At 35.2% G+C, this 17745-nt stretch overlaps 1 protein-coding gene across 5 annotated transcripts in view; it reads left to right on the plus strand.

Moving 5' to 3' along the window:
- The window catches only part of PHYHIPL (phytanoyl-CoA 2-hydroxylase interacting protein like), a 74174-nt gene that overhangs the window by 8343 nt on the left and 48086 nt on the right, over positions 1–17745 (plus strand). The gene's annotated exons all lie outside the window — the stretch shown is intronic.

Below are 17745 nucleotides of genomic sequence, written 5' to 3' on the forward strand. Positions count from 1 at the left end.
GAAATTCACTCTCTATAGAATGCTATTTAGACAACATTCAAATTACTTGGTTTTATCTCTACTGATATTTCTTCCTAAATTAGGCCCAATGTTGCTTTTTCCTCTAACTTATGTGAGTATACTTTCCTGATTACTTTTATATTTCATCCTGGGCCTCGATAATAACAGCAGCTATGTCACTCATTGCAGCAAGCATAAATCCTTCTACTTTCTGGTTTTCCTTCTCTGCTTTTCTTTAGTAAATGCATAATATAAGTTTTGCCTTGTAGAATGTGCCTCCTTCTTGGATTTATTTTCCATTTCTGTTATATTGCTGTATGTGAATCTTTTTATCCTTTATTAATTAAATTCTATTTTTACTATAAAACCTATACCTCCTTTTTAAACTTTAAAATATTTCATTATTAGCATTATTATTATTGAGACGGAGTTTCGCTCTTTCACCCAGGCTGGAATGCAGTGGCGCAGTCTTGGCTCACTGCAACCTCCGCCTTCTGGTTTCACGTGACTCTCCTGCCTCAGCCTCCCAAGTAGCTAGGATTACAGGCACCCGCCACCACACCCAGCTAATTTTTGTGTTTTTAGTAGAGATGGGGTTTCACCATGTTGGCCAGGCTGGTCTTGAACTCCCGACCTCGTGATCTGCCCGCCTCGGCCTTCCAAAGTGCTGGGACAGTAGTTAAACCGTCCTTTGAGCAGACTATATTTTATATACATACATTTGAGAGTAAAATCAGTGTTTGGAGACAACTTAAATGTATAGAAGAATAGGACAGTCTGAGCAGAAAAAAATAGGTAGAAAGCTTCAGCATATTCTGTATATGTTAAGGGTAGGGACTGGAAATGGTATATAAGAAACCAAAAAAGAATCATGAGGAATTCATGATGATTGAAATTTCAGGCAACATGGAAAGTGATCAGGAGTAACTTCAGGATTTTAAGTCTGGGAAATCTGAAGAATCATTGACAGGAAAGGAGAAAAAGAGAAATAAAATAATTTTTAAACATCCTGATGACATTAATTTTTTACATCTCAGATTTTAGGAGCTGGTGAATATCCAAATATGTCCTAAGCACTTTTCTAGAGGCATATCTCTCTCATAGATATTGTTTTACCAGGATGATATTATATATACTGCTTTGTCATTATTGTTTCAGTGTGTTTCCCCATGAGATTACCCACTGATATTCTTTTGAGGCTTTTTTTTTTCTTCATTCTCACTCCTCAAAGGCTATACAAGGTCTGATGATAATACTGTGAGAATCAGTACAATATAAAACTAACCACTTAATAGTTTAGAGAGGATTGTGAAATAGTGATTTTTGAGCTATCTCCGTAAAGAGATTGTTGAATCTAAGGAGACATTTTTGAGAGATTAGTATAAAGCAAAAAGAATTTTTGAGTTATATGAAGATGTTTCAAATCTAACATTAAGAGAACCCTTAGAAACTTAAAAAGTCAGCAATTCTTGTGTTCTGGGGAAAAGAGTTCTAGAATGGGGAGAATTGCTCATAGAAACATATATTCCACTAGGGAGACTGGAAATTAAGTGAAAAGGGAAAGGTTAGGATGTAACTTCAGTTTTACAGTGACTTTTAATGTGCTTTGTATCTCACCCTTTGAGGGAAAGGGGTGGTCACATCCAACTTTAAACAACAAAGATGAAATAAATCTACAACCAGGTTTGTTACAAATGTAACTAAGAGCTCTGTATTTTGAAGATGCTCAACAGATGTGAGTTGAACCAAGAACGTCATACTTGGAATTGTCGTTAGTTTTGTTTGTTATGTTATGACTATTTGAGCCATGTAGTGGCTCATTTAAAAGGGGCTGCTCCGTGGGGATTGTGCATATACACCATTTGTTGTAGTGGTTGTGGCAACTAGTGTAAATAGATCTGTATTTTTGTTTTCTATAGCCTGTGGGAATGTTGCTCTCTAATAATAGTATGAAAAGCTTATAGTTTCCTTAGACATATGCCAATAAAAACAAGGCATAAAAGATTTTTCAGTATACTCTGATTTTTTTGAGAAATAGTGTCTCATCTTCCATGAATTTGAATATTGGTGAATCTCTCAGTCTTTAACATTTTAAAAGCTGTTGATAAATGCCAACAAGAATTATGTAACTTTTGATCATCTACTGTGCAATAGGTCCAATAGGTCCTTAATGGCTGCATTTTAGAGTTATATCTGTGATGCAGAACAGGGGCGTGCATGTTATGTTCCCTGGGCAAAATCCATAAGCCTGCTACCTGTTTTGGTAAGTATAATTTTATTGGAATACAGCCATACTCATTTGTTTACATACTGTCTATGGCTACTTTCTTGCTACAACAACAGGGCTGAGTAGCTGCAACAGACCACATAGCCCACAAACCTTAAAATACTTATTGTCTAGACCTTTATAGGAAAAGTTTGCCAACACCTAGTGCAGAAGATTGAGACATGAGTTAATCTCTCTTGATAGGAGTAAAAATATTGCAAAGAGAGTTTTTGGGAAAAAACTGTGTACTCATCTTACTTTTATATATTTCCAGGGTTTTGCGATTAGGCGAGTCAGGCAGAGAGATGTAGAGACTTGAATAATGTTATCAGGCAGTAAGTTAGTTCTGTATGGAGTCAGTCAGAGATGGGTGGTCCCCTATACCATTGCATCTGATAGGCAGTGACGGAAACAGGCCCTAGTTTTTTTTTTTTAATTTTTTTTATTGTATTATTATTATACTTTAAGTTTTAGGGTACATGTGCACAACGTGCAGGTTTGTTACATATGTATACATGTGCCATGTTGGTGTGCTGCACCCATTAACTCGTCATTTAGCATTAGGTATATTTCTTAATGCTATCCCTCCCCCCCTCCCCCAACCCCACAACAGACCCAGGTGTGTGATGTTCCCCTTTCTGTGTCCATGTGTTCTCATGGTTTAATTGCCACCTATGAGTGAGAATGTGCAGTGTTTAGTTTTTTGTCCTTGCGATAGTTTGCTGAGAATGATGGTTTCAAGCTTCATCCATGTGCCTACAAAGGACATGAACTCATCATTTTTTTTTTTTTTTTTTTTTTTTGAGACGGAGTCTCGCTCTGCCACCCAGACTGGAGTGCAGTGGCGGGATCTCGGCTCACTGCAAGCTCCGCCTCCCAGGTTCACGCCATTCTCCTGCCTCAGCCTCCCAAGTAGCTGGGACTACAGGCGCCCGCCACTACGCCCGGCTAATTTTTTGTATTTTTAGTAGAGACGGGGTTTCACCGTTTTAGCCGGGATGGTCTCGATCTCCTGACCTCGTGATCCGCCCGCCTCGGCCTCCCAAAGTGCTGGGATTACAGGCATGAGCCACCGCGCCCGGCCGAACTCATCATTTTTTATGGCTGCATAGTATTCCATGGTGTATATGTGCCACATTTTCTTAATCCAGTCTATCATTGTTGGACATTTGGGTTGGTTCCAAGTCTTTGCTATTGTGAATAGTGGCGCAATAAACATACGTGTGCATGTGTCTTTATAGCAGCATGATTTATAATCCTTTGGGTATATACCCAGTAATGGGATGGCTGGGTCAAATGGTATTTCTAATTCTAGATCCCTGAGGAATCGCCACACTGACTTCCACAATGGTTGAACTAGTTTACAGTCCCAGCAACAGTGTAAAAGTGTTCATATTTCTCCACATCCTCTCCAGCACCTGTTGTTTCCTGACCTTTTAATGATCGCCATTCTAACTGGTGTGAGATGGTATCTCATTGTGGTTTTGATTTGCATTTCTCTGATGGCCAGTAATGATGAGCATTTTTTCATGTGTCTGTTGGCTGCGTAAATGTCTTCTTTTGAGAAGTGTCTGTTCATATCCTTTGCCCACTTTTTGATGGGGTTGTTTGTTTTTTTCTTGTAAATTTGTTTGAGTTCATTGTAGATTCTGGATATTAGCCCTTTGTCAGATGAGTAGATTGCGAAAATTTTCTCCCATTCTGTATGTTGCCTGTTCACTCTGTTGGTAGTTTCTTTTGCTGTGCAGAAGCTCTTTAGTTTAATTAGATACTATTTGTCAATTTTGGCTTTTGTTGCCATTGCTTTTGGTGTTTTAGACATGAAGTCCTTGTCCATGCCTATGTCCTGAATGGTATTGCCTGGGTTTTCTTCTAGGGTTTTTATGGTTTTAGGTCTAACATTTAAGTCTTTAATCCATCTTGAATTAATTTTTGTATAAGGTGTAAGGAAGGGATCCAGTTTCAGCTTTCTCCATATGGCTAGCCAGTTTTCCCAGCACCATTTATTAAATAGGGAATCCTTTCCCCATGGCTTATTTTTGTCAGGTTTGTCAAAGATCAGATAGTTGTAGATATGTGGCATTATTTCTGAGGCCTCTGTTCTGTTCCATTGGTCTCTATCTCTGTTTTGGTACCAGTACCATGCTGTTTTGGTTACCGTAGCCTTGTAGTATAGTTTGAAGTCAGGTAGCATGATGCCTCCAGCTTTGTTCTTTTTGCTTAGGATTGTCTCGGCAATGTGGGCTCTTTTTTGGTTCCATATGAACTTTAAAGTAGTTTTTTCCAATTCTGTGAAGAAAGTCATTGGTAGCTTGATGGGGATGGCATTGAATCTATAAATTACCTTGGGCAGTATGGCCATTTTCACGATATTGATTCTTCCTATCCATAAGCATGGAATGTTTTTCCATTTGTTTGTGTCCTCTCTTATTTCCCTGAGCAGTGGTTTGTAGTTCTTGAAGAGGTCCTTCACATCCCTTGTAAGTTGGATTCCTAGGTATTTTATTCTCTTAGTAGCAGTTGTGAATGGGAGTTCACTCATGATTTGGCTCTCTGTTTGTCTGTTATTGGTGTATAAGAATGCTTGTGATTTTTGTACATTGATTTTTTATCCTGAGACTTTGCTGAAGTTGCTCATCAGCTTAAGGAGATTTTGGGCTGAGACAATGGGGTTTTCTAGATATACAATCATGTCATCTGCAAACAGGGACAATTTGACTTCCTCTTTTCCTAATTGAATGCAGTTTATTTCCTTCTCCTGCCTGATTGCCCTGGCCAGAACTTCCAACACTATGTTGAATAGGAGTGGTGAGAGAGGGCATCCCTGTCTTGTACCAGTTTTCAAAGGGAATGCTTCCAGTTTTTGTCCATTCAGTATGATATTGGCTGTGGGTTTGTCATAGATAGCTCTTATTATTTTGAGATACGTCCCTTCAATACCTAATTTATTGAGAGTTTTTAGCATGAAGTGTTGTTGAATTTTGTCAAAGGCCTTTTCTGCATCTATTGAGATAATCATGTGGTTTTTATCTTTGGTTCTGTTTATAGGCTGGATTACGTTTATTGATTTGCGTATGTTGAACCAGCCTTGCATCCCAGGGATGAAGCCGACTTGATTATGGTGGATGAGCTTTTTGATGTGTTGCTGGATTCGGTTTGCCAGTATTTTATTGAGTATTTTTTGCATCAATGTTCATCAAGGATATTGGTCTAAAATTCTCTTTTTTTGTTGTGTCTCTGCCAGGCTTTGGTATCAGGATGATGCTGGCCTCATAAAATGAGTTAGGGAGGATTCCCTCTTTTTCTGTTGATGGAAATAGTTTCAGAGGAAATGGTACCAGCTCCTGCTTGTACCTCTGGTAGAATTTGGCTGCGAATCCATCTGGTCCTGGACCTTTTTTGGTTGGTAAGCTATTAATTATTGCCTCAATTTCAGAGCCTGTTATTGGTCTATTCAGAGATTCAACTTCTTCCTGGTTTAGTCTTGGGAGGGTGTATGTGTCGAGGAATTTATCCGTTTCTTCTAGATTTTCAAGTTTATTTGAGTAGAGAGGTTCATAGTATTCACTGATGGTAGTTTGTATTTCTGTGGGATCGGCAGTGATATCCCCTTTATCATTTTTTATTGTGTCTATTTGATTCTTCTCTCTTTTCTTCTTTATTAGTCTTGCTAGCGGTCTATCCATTTTGTTGATCTTTTCAAAAAACCACCTCCTGGATTCATTGATATTTTGAAGGGTTTTTTGTGTCTCTATCTCCTTCAGTTCTGCTCTGATCTTAGTTATTTCTTGGCTTCTGCTAGCTTTTGAATGTGTTTGCTCTTGCTTCTCTAGTTCTTTTAATTGTGATGTTAAGGTGTCAATTTTAGATCTTTCCTGCTTTCTCTTGTGGGCATTTAGTGCTATAAATTTCCCTCTACACAATGCTTTGAATGTGTCCCAGAGATTCTGGTATGTTGTGTCTTTGTTCTCATTGGTTTCAAAGAACATCTTTATTTCTGCCTTCATTTTGTTATGTACCCGGTAGTCATTCAGGAACAGGTTGTTCGTTTTTCATGTAGTTGAGCGGTTTTGAGTGAGTTTCTTAATCCTGAGTTCTAGTTTGATTGCACTGTGGTCTGAGAGATAATTTGTTATAATTTCTGTTCTTTTACATTTGCTGGGGAGGGCTTTACTTCCAACTATGTGGTTAATTTTGGAATAGGTGCGGTGTGGTGCTGAAAAGAATGTATATTCTGTTGATTTGGGGTGGAGAGTTCTGTAGATGTCTATTAGGTCCGCTTGGTGCAGAGCTGAGTTCAATTTCTGGATATCCTTGTTAACTTTCTGTCTCATTGATCTGTCTAATGTTGACAGTGGGGTGTTAAAGTCTCCCATTATTATTGTGTGGGAGTCTAAGTCTCTTTGTAGGTCACTAAGGACTTGCTTTATGAATCTGGATGCTCCTGTATTGGGTGCATATAAATTTAGGATAGTTAGTTCTTCTTGTTGAATTGATCCCTTTACCATTATGTAATGGCCTTCTTTGTCTCTTTTGATCTTTGTTGGTTTAAAGTCTATTTTATCCGAGACTAAGATTGCAACCCCTGCCTTTTTTTGTTTTCCATTTGCTTGGTAGATCTTCCTCCATCCCTTTATTTTGAGCCTATGTGTGTCTCTGCACGTGAGATGGGTTTCCTGAATACAGCACACTGACAGGCCCTAGTTTTAACTTGAAATCTAGCCTTCATATAAATAAGTTTAGAAAGAAATGCTATATATGCACATGCGTTTCCAGGTACACTTATAATTCTATCAATAGATATGTTTTAAAAAGTGTCAAATGTAGTGTGAACTTTGAGAAATATGTATAATTATATTGATGCATATTACAAAAATTTATGTAAATATCATATTATTCCTTTGAAACCAAACTCTCCTTAAAAAAGAGTCAAGATCATATTCATCTTTCTGTCTTCCATAGTCTATCTCAAGCTGTCTGTAAATGACCCTCTTATTTTTCTTTTTTAATTTCCAATCTGTTACAGTCTGAAACTTATTAAGAACATTGAAAAAGAATTTCTAGAAAAATGAAATTAAAATGATACAAATGAATCCAACAGAAGTAAAATTCACTGTTAAATTGCTTTAAAAGTTTCTAAATGCTTAATCCTAATTTTTATATTTAATTTCATCACAGATTGATAGTTTGTAGACTATTGCTTGTGGGTAGACCACATTTTTAAGTAGCACCAGCTAGAGGACCATGCCATTCTATTCTTGTTCAATGATTAATTTATAGGAACTTCCCTTAGCCAGTTAAGAGTCTACTTTGTTTTCTTTTGTTCTTCTACTTACTATTTTTATTATTTATTTTTACATGCATTCCAACTTTAGGTTCTGAATTAAGAACAGGAAAAAAGGACACAAAAATGGATATAACTTGGATTCTGGGTTCAAAGGATTTAGGAAGACAATTTATTTTGAGAATCAATATATTTAAGTAGATAATTATAATAATATTTGATAAATACTATAATGGAGTATAGAAGAGAAAGTGGTTATTTCTATCTTGAGTCTAAGGAGCAACATTTTATTGAGGGTTAAAAGTAAAATAAAAATTTGCCAGAAGAAAAAGTAGGAGAGGGGTATTTCTGGCTGAGATAAGAGAATAAACAAAGGCTTAAAATCATGTATTCTGGGAATGCATAGCATTTGGTATTGCTGGAGGAAAGAAGTGTGCCTGGTGGAAAATTAAGCTGAAAGCTAGTTGCAGCTAGCTAGGTTATGCCATGATTAGGATTTTGGATTTATTATCTTAGATTTCAAACTTTCTAATTTGTGGAGAACGTTTGTTTTATTATATAACATTGTGTAATAAGTAAAAGTAGCATTTTATTGTGTAATTGTACTATAATTTTATACGTACAGCATTTTTCAAATAGTCAATCAGTGGTATAGTGGGAATTTAAATTAGCAGCTATGCTTGAAAGTTGCTATTTTATATCAGCTTCAGCATCCACTATATTTCTGTATCTTATTTTTATTGCATTATATTTTGAAAATTCTGGTTCATACAAATAAGTGGTGGCAAATTGTAATGTTTTTAAGTCATCTGGCCTTTTCAGGATATTCTTCAAATAAACTGATCAAGACCAAAAAGAGAAATATTCAGATTTTTGTCAAAGTAGAATAATGAAAGAATAAATGTTTCATTTGAGGGTAAGTGACAGAATCGATTCATCAGTCATTTCATTTTTCATTGTTTGATGATAAAATTCTGTATCTTGTATCATTCTGAGATATTTATTGATAACATTTTTAAAACTCATACTTTTCTGCTGATTCTGTTAAAATTTCAGAACAGTTGATTTATTTTCCTTGCATGATGAATCTTAACTGTAAGAATCAATTTCATTTCTGAAAATTTATTTGCATTATAAGCTTGGTAATATTGTGACTATATTGTCAAATTGAATTTCTTCAGCTTATTAAAGAGCTGGATAATCAAATTGGTTTTCCCTAGTTACTTATATTTGAAAGATACTTATCAGAGTTTTTAAAAATTACATTTAGAAAGTGTTTCTTGTTTTTCGAAGAATATTTATACCTTGATTCAGGACACCCAGCTAAGTTTGGTATGAAAAATGAGCTTTGAAATTTTCTGTTCTTAACCTTACAATTAGCTCAGAAAAAAATCCCCGACTTCAGTGTAAAGGATAGTTTAAATGTGATTATCCAAAACTATTTTTTAAATATCTAAATATCTAATCCTTATTAGTGTATAATTACTACTTGATGAAATCTGGCAACAACTTTTACAGGAGCTACCATTCCTGTGATTTTTTATGTTATCTATTTTCCTCAATATAGTTGTCTCAATATTTCTGACAGTTTAGTTAGTGGTGTGTTAAAAATTGGTTTAGACATTAACATTTTCTTCTCCATTGTGTATTGTTTTACGATTTCTGAATTTACCTAGTTAAAAAACTTGTGCAAAAGCAAATGTAGAGATCTGACCCATATATATTCTCATTGAGTTAAATTGGAAAGATCTTACATAATCTCAGCATTTGAATTAACTAGGTATATGCGATGAATATTTTTTGTATTACATTTTCAGGTATGTACCAATATTTTGTTTCAGTTTTTTGACAGCAGCTCACTCATTTAACATTTGTTGCAGTATCAATAATGCAACATTTGATAAGGTTTTCTCTAATTGTGTATGCTTTTGTTCATAGGTGATAACTTTATTCTGATTACATTTTAGTCATTAGATTTGCAGTAACTTCAGTCACTGTATGTTTTACTGAAAATTTATGGAATTGTCAGCAACCATATCACTATTTTGCCAAACTTTGTTATAAAAAACCCAATGAAAAGTTGTCAGTTTTTATCACTACAATGTAAGTCTTAATGATAGATGACTATCATTATATTTTAGCCTTGAGTGACTATTCCTGAGAGCTTCCAGCATATTTATTTCATTTTGAACATAGTTGCCACTGTGGTCAATATATGCTGAAAACTCAACAGGTACTAATTAATAGTAAGACTTAATATATCTTGAGTCAAATAAGTAACAACATATCCATTTTAAATTTGTCTGTTATTTCCTGTTTTCAGCCAGTTTCATTTCTAGTTTTAGAGATAATTATTTCATTTCCTATACTGGAAAAAGTATAACTTTATCCCAAACAAGAATAACTTTATCAGAATACAATTAGAGAAGAAATATGCAAATTTCATAGTAAACTCTTAATCTGTTTAAGAGAGGAAGGGCCAAACAGTTGAACCAGAGCCTTACCTACAACTAATTGAACTCTGCATTCAAATACATAATGTCTTTGTAAAACTTTACTTGAGCGTATACTTGCTGGCTTGAATTTAAACAAACACACATGAAACAGAGTTACACCTTTTATTAGCACATGGTGCCATTTTGTGCACTGAGGTAGCAGGCAAAGTCTTCTTTTGATGTTTACCCAAAATAACAGAGGACAATTTAATATTTGCTATTTGTATTACAGTTTAAAAATAGTTTTAAAATAATTAAAAAGGAAGTTAAATGATAATGTTTGATACACTTCTCAGTCACCTCTTTATTAAAAAATATTTAAGTCATTGGTCAGTGGTTCTCAAAATTTATCACCTAGACGGCTTACTAAAATAGATTGCTGGGACCCATCCCCTGAGTTTCTGATTCCTTAGATCTGGATGGAGCCCAAGAATTTGCATTTCTAACAAATTTCTAGGGGATGTTGGTGTTGGTGATCCAGGGTCCAGACTTACAGAAGCAATGCTTTTGGTAGCATGACCAAAGAATTTCTTAGGTGGGGAAGAGATATTGGATATTTGTTGTTTAGATACAGTGTTCTGACATCCATTGGATGAATGAACTGGGATATTGAACTCAAGAGAGTGTAACTACCTAAATGGCAATTATAGATAATAAGTAGGATTTTTAAGACAAGATAGATAAAAATTAGGGGTGGAATTAAACAACATTTCTGAGACAAAAATCTGTTAACTTTGTGATCAAACTGGAAGTGTGGCATATGAAAAAGGAGTTGTTGAGGATGACTAAATTTGCTAGATTTGGAGATGGGGTACATTTTGATACCAGCAAATAAAATAGGAATTTTTAACTGGGGGGAATATTAAAGAGTAGGCTTGAAGACAAGCGATTACAGTTCTTTCTGGACCAGTTAGATTTCAATATCTGTGGAATATCTAGATGGAAATTTTCAGAAGGCTGTTAGAAATTTTCATCTGTGTCTCATAGGGAGAGAGTTTGAGAATAAAGATGAAAATTTGGTAGTACTCTCTGAGTTATTTTCTCTTGTTATATTTCTTCTTCATCAAGTGTTCTTCCTTCATCTTCCAGTCAGTCTTTGAGACCCATATGAGGTTTTTCAACTGCTCATTAGAGTGAGTACATTAGAATGCTTATGCCTTTTGTGTACATGTGTGGTGTCTGAAAGGATCATTTGGAAATTAATTACTTTAGATATAATTATATTTGGTAGGTTGTGGTTATTTGGGGCAGTTAACATGGAAGAAATACAATTAACCTAAGCTCTGTGCTTGATAGATTTCTCCCCCTTATTTTGACTGACAAGAGAACTAAGTGTATGATTATCTGTGCTTACTGTAGAAATACACTGGATTAATTTTTTCCCCTTAAGCAACATAATCTGTGTTGCATAAAATAAATACAGTGCATAAAATAAATGAACTGGTGGAACTCAAATTAGCAGAAAAACAGTGACAGTGAAGCCTAAAGAAAAATTAAAATCTTCAGCAAATCTGTGTCTAAGGCTTTCAAATTGAACACATATGTCCAAGATTTTCTTTTTGACCTTGAACCTACTAATTTTCATGTTTACTAGGGTATTTGTTGAGTGCTAGGCTACAATAAGACATAGTCTCTTTTTTTAAACTTATTTTTCTTGCAGACTCTTTTTGTTTAAGCTTAGATAAACCTTCCATTTTAATAAATATGGTTTTTTAGTTTTTGTATAACATTTTCAAGCTGTGCTAAGGCTGAATATTTGAGCCTATTTCTATATATTTTCTTCTGGTGTAATTCAGTATATCCAATGTTAATTTATGTGGTGCTTGTTAGCTTGATACAACTTTTTTGGCTGTTATTTTTGGTGATTAAAAAAGGAAGCCCTAATGACTAAAAAAGCAGTGGTTCTGGAATTTGCTGTTTATACTACTTGTTTTGCTAAAAGCTTTACATATTTACATTCTAATGATCAAATTTACAGAATTGAAATTAAGCTTAAAATAATGATAAACGTTCCAAATTCCAAATACAATTTAGCTACTTCTTCTAGAACTTTTGTTTTGCACTATGTATTGTAGAAGTATTTCTTTACCTATATGTTTTTTTTTTTTTTTTTTTTTGAGGCAGTCTTGCCCTGTTGCCCAGGCTGGAGTGCAGTGGTGTGATCTTGGCTCACTGCAATCTTTGCTTCCCAAGTTCAAGCAATTCTCCTGCCTCAGCCTCCTGAGTAGCTGGGATTACAGGTGTGCACCACCACACCCAGCTAATTTTTTTGTATTTCTAAGATATTTATTTTTCTAAGAGCTTCATATGGATCCACCATTGAATGTTTTCCTTTGCTACCCTCATAATAGTTTCAAGAATGTTTTCCAATTTCTTTTCCTATAGTGTTAATACTTTTCTATTTTAATTTTCTGACATAGAAACACCACCTAGTTTCACTCTAATATGATAATATTTTAATGAGAATTTTAAATATATTTCCCTGAATGCATGCATAGTGCTATTTAGTGCAGATAATGTGTGTGTATTTATTTTCATTGCACTGTGAAATGCTGATGTGCCATATTTTAAGGAAATCTGAAATATCTAAACTTAGAAAACACATTAATCAGGGAATAGTTATTTTCCCTGCAATAGTGTTCTCTGTCAGTTCTGCAGTGTTCTTCGTTGTTTCTTTCAGAAGGATTTGACAAAAAGGCAAAATGGCAGTGAAATGTGATACCAACTAATTTGTCTTAAAACAACGGTTTCTTAAGTTATCTCTGAAATTTTTATGAGAGGAAGTATATGCTAGACATTGGAAATTCAAAGATCCAGCATTTTTAACTTCACCTATTTATAGGCCATGTCAAAGGTAGCTAAATCGGATAATTTATTGACAATTTTAATAGCATGCTAGACAGCTGAATTTCTGGCATTTACCTGTGAGTGTAGAAAGCTTGTTGCCCAGCATTTCTGTCAATGTTTCTTTATATTTTATTTGAGCATACAGAATTCTTGTGAAATGTCAAAAACATTATTTTTAAGTAAAAAATGACCCCTGAGAAAGAAAAGTGTGGAATATAAGAAAACAGAAAGGGGGAAAGGATTTGTTAAAAGTGTTTTACAAAATATTTGCACTGACTAATGTTATTATATTAATTATGTAATTTAAGGTATTGTTTAATTTATTTTGGTGCTAGAATTTAATTGCTTTTAAAATGACTTTTATTCTCACATTATCATTAAGAGTCTGTGAATGCATTGTGTAGGGGATGAAAATGTCTTTCCTTCTCATCTTAGGTTCATGGCTGAGGCCACATAACAAAAGACTAACAAGAGAAAAGCATACAAATTTATGTAATATAAGCTGTGCATGACGTGGGAGCCTTCATAAGGAAATGAAAACCCAAAGAAATGGGTAAAACCTATGTATTTTTTAATGTTAGGTTTGATGAAGAGTGGACAGTCATGGAGAAGTATAATTGGAAGACAAACGCGTATGATTTCATGGTAATAAGCTGGTGGGAACTTCACAAGACTTGTTTCTTCAGATTCACCTCTGTGTCCTATGTCTTCAGAGATAAGGATATTCTTTTCCTCCAGGTATAGGGAGGCCATCTCTCCAGTGAAGGTCTTATGACCTGCCTCAGGGGAGAAGGGTAGGAGAAGGAGTGACCTTCCTGCTTCTGTTGTTTTCTCAAATTCTTTCAGCTGAAAGTATTTTAGGGTACCATGTCTCGAAACCCATTGCTTACTAACATTTTTCTGTTGTATTCTACTACTTGGTAAATTATATGCTTTAATTGTTTTTACATATGTAAAGACTTTGAAAAGTATCCTTTGTAAATGCCATGGTTATATTGTAATGGTCTTCAAGTGATGTTTATGAACTCCAGAAGGCATAATAGATAATCAATTGGACCATGGAATAAAGTAATAGAACTTTTGTTAATGTTTATTTTTATATTATCTAGAATAAGAAAAAGTTTTATTAATGTTAGCTATAGAGCTTAATACTTGATATATCAAACTGTCACATATACTCTATGTGCATGAGGTACATGTGTATAATTGGTATATGCTTAGTGTTTTGTACATACAGATAGTGATGTACTTTCCCAGCCTGATGTACCCATTCTTGTGTGATACCTTTTCCAACTGTGATAGCCCTTAAAACAAAGTATCTAAATAAACTGAATTTAGAATTGGTCATTGAATTGCTGTGTCACAAAATGTTAAACCAAGTTTATCAAAATAACACATATTCATATATTTTTAGTAAAATGTTTTTATTCTGAAGTAGATAAAAATAAAATATTTAAAATTATTTTGTATTTTATAATTTTAAATTGCTATTTTGCCCAGTCTATAATGTACATAATATATTAGTATATATATATATGTATAATTTATAAAGAAATGACTGCACTTATGAGTACACTGTCAACATTTTTTTTTTTTTTTTTGAGATAGAGTCTTGCTCTGTTGCCCAGGCTGGAGTGCAGTGGTGTGAATCTCGGCTCACTGCAAGCTCCACCTCCCGGGTTCACGCCATTCTCCTCACACCTCAGCCTCCTGAGTAGCTGGGACTACAGGCACCCACCACCACGCCAGGCTAATTTTTTGTATTTTTAGTAGAGATGGGGTTTCACCGTGTTAGGCAGGATGGTCTTGATCTCCTGACCTTGTGATCCGTCCGACTTGGCCTCCCAAAGTGTGGTATTACACGTGTGAGCCACCGCGCCCGGCCAAGTACACTGTCAACATTTTTTATGCAGGGGTATGAGATGAAAAAAGTTTTAAGAATAGATTTGTATTATATTCTATTTTTGTACGTCTTGCTTTACACAGCAAGGTATATCTGTAATAAATAAATCCACCCAATGTATTCAAAGATGGATTTCATTACACAATTATATACTCTTTATTGTCAAAAAGATTTCTTAAATGCGTATTTTAACGTGATGTTGTATATAGCAATTTAGATGAATTCCCTGGGCTCTGGAGGTAAACAGTTCAAGATAATTTTTAGTTATGTATATGAAATCTCAATCTAGGTGCTCATCAAGGAGCTAAAACAACACCACAAATTTAGAAGCATGTTGCTATTCACTGCTACCTATGATAGTCCTGTTTTCCAAAAGATGTTCTCATTATCCTCCCCAGTTTCTCAGGCATTGACCTTCAGGGGCATTCTTCACATAAAATATTAAGATAAAAATCCCTTGAATTCTATCTCCTCAGTGGTCTGATCTTATTTTACATCTTATAACTTTATAACTGAGTAACAAAATTTCCTTTATGATCTGGCCATCACCAATCTTCTGTTCCTCCAGTCCCATCTTATTCTTTCTCTGAAAATAATCTTTTGAGAATAAGTTTTCAGTACCTGTCTTCCCTGTTAAGAAACCTTAAACCTTAATTCAAATGCAACATATATATGGACTTTCATGAACCTCTTTTTAGGGTCATTTGGTTTTGGCATCTGTTACCCTGTTGTGCAAAACTTCACCTGGCTGACTAGTAAGCTCTACTTTTTTTTTCCTACATTTTGTGAGTTTTCTTTCCAAAATTTCACTAAGTTCAAAGTGAACTGCTTTTCCATGTATAATGCATGTCTGTACCTTTGTGCCAGGGCCAGCATTCCCTGCTTTTACTCTTCTTTAACATTTATAACCATCTTCTTCTATTCTGGCTGTGCTACCATATTTATTGTCTTTGAGTCAACACTTTACTTTTACTTATTTAGGATTGTGTATGTTGGTTACAATTACCAACAATTCCAGGGCCTACTTTCCTTTACATTTGGTCTTAAAATGTTGCTACCTGTTTTCATTGACATCTACCTTATCTCCAAACTATTTTGTGCTCCTCTTACATATTATTTATATTCATTACTTTTTATTTTAACCTAGGTCAAATAATGAAGTTTCATTTGTGTGTTTTTATTGCCAGCTACTCAGGGTTGTGCTTGAGGCTTGATTTGCATTTATGTCCTCTTGTGGTATGGAGCACAGAGATAGAATGGGCACAGGAAGATGAACTTAGATCTCTTTATTTTTTTTAAGTATTTCTAAAGCAGTAATCTTTTTTTATTATTATTATACTTTAAGTTCTAGGGTACACGTGCACAACGTGCTGGTTTCTTACATATGTATACATGTGCCATGTTGGTGTGCTGCACCCGTTAACTCATCATTTACATTACGTATATCTCCTAATGCTATCCCTCCCCCCTACCCCCACCCCATGACAGGCCCAGTGAGTGATGTTCCCCTTCCTGTGTCCAAGTGTTCTCATTGTTCAATTCCCACCTATGAGTGAGAACATGCGGTGTTTGGTTTTTTTGTCCTTGCGATAGTTTTCTGAGAATGATGGTTTCCAGCTTCATCCATGTCCCTACAAAGGACATGAACTCATCATTTTTTATGGCTGCATAGTATTCCATGGTGTATATGTGCCACATTTTTTTTAATCCACTCTATCATTGATGGACATTTGGGTTGGTTCCAAGTCTTTGCTATTGTGAATAGTGCCGCACTGAACATACATGTGCATGTGTCTTTATAGTAGCATGATTTATAATCCTTTGGGTATATACCCAGTAATGGGATGGCTGGGTCAAATGGTATTTCTAGTTCTAGATCCTTGAGGAATCGCCACACTGTCTCCCACAATGGTTGAACTAGTTTACAGTCCCACTAACAGTGTAAAAGTGTTCCTATTTCTCCACATCCTCTCCAGCACCTATTGTTTCCTGACTTTTTAATGATCGCCATTCTAACTGGTGTGAGATGGTATCTCATTGTGGTTTTGATTTGCATTTCTCTGATGACCAGTGATGATGAGAGTTTTTTCATGTGTCTGTTGGCTGCATAAATGCCTTCTTTTGAGAAGTGTCTGTTCATATCCTTTGCCCACTTTTTGATGGGTTTGTTTGATTTTTTTCTTGTAAATTTGTTTGAGTTCTTTGTAGATTCTAGATATTAGCCCTTTGTCAGATGAGTAGATTGCGAAAATTTTCTCCCATTCTGTACGTTGCCTGTTCACTCTGATGGTAGTTTCTTTTGCTGTGCAGAAGCTCTTTAGTTTAATTAGATCCCATTTGTCAATTTTGGCTTTTATTGCCATTGCTTTTGGTGTTTTAGACATGAAGTCCTTGCCCATGCCTATGTCCTGAATGGTATTGCCTAGGTTTTCTTCTAGGGTTTTTATGGTTTTAGGTCTAACATTTAAGTCTTTAATCCATCTTGAACTAATTTTTATATAAGATATAAGGAAGGGATCCAGTTTCAGCTTTCTACATATGGCTAGCCAGTTTTCCCAGCACCATTTATTAAATAGGGAATCCTTTCCCCATTTCTTGTTTTTGTCAGGTTTGTCAAAGATCAGATGGTTGTAGATGTGTGGTATTATTTCTGAGGCCTCTGTTCTGTTCCATTGGTCTCTATCTCTGTTTTGGTGCCAGTACCTTGCTGTTTTTGTTACCGTAGCCTTGTAGTATAGTTTGAAGTCAGGTAGCGTGATGCCTCCAGCTTTGTTCTTTGGCTTAGGATTGTCTTGGCAATGAGGGCTCTTTTTTGGTTCCATATGAACTTTAAAGTAGTTTTTTCCAATTCTGTGAAGAAAGTCGTTGGTAGCTTGATGGAAATGGCATTGAATCTATAAATTACCTTGGGCAGTATGGCCATTTTCACGATATTGATTCTTCCTATCCA

Source organism: Homo sapiens, chromosome 10 (assembly GCF_000001405.40).
Source record: "Homo sapiens chromosome 10, GRCh38.p14 Primary Assembly".
NCBI lineage: Eukaryota > Metazoa > Chordata > Mammalia > Primates > Hominidae > Homo > Homo sapiens.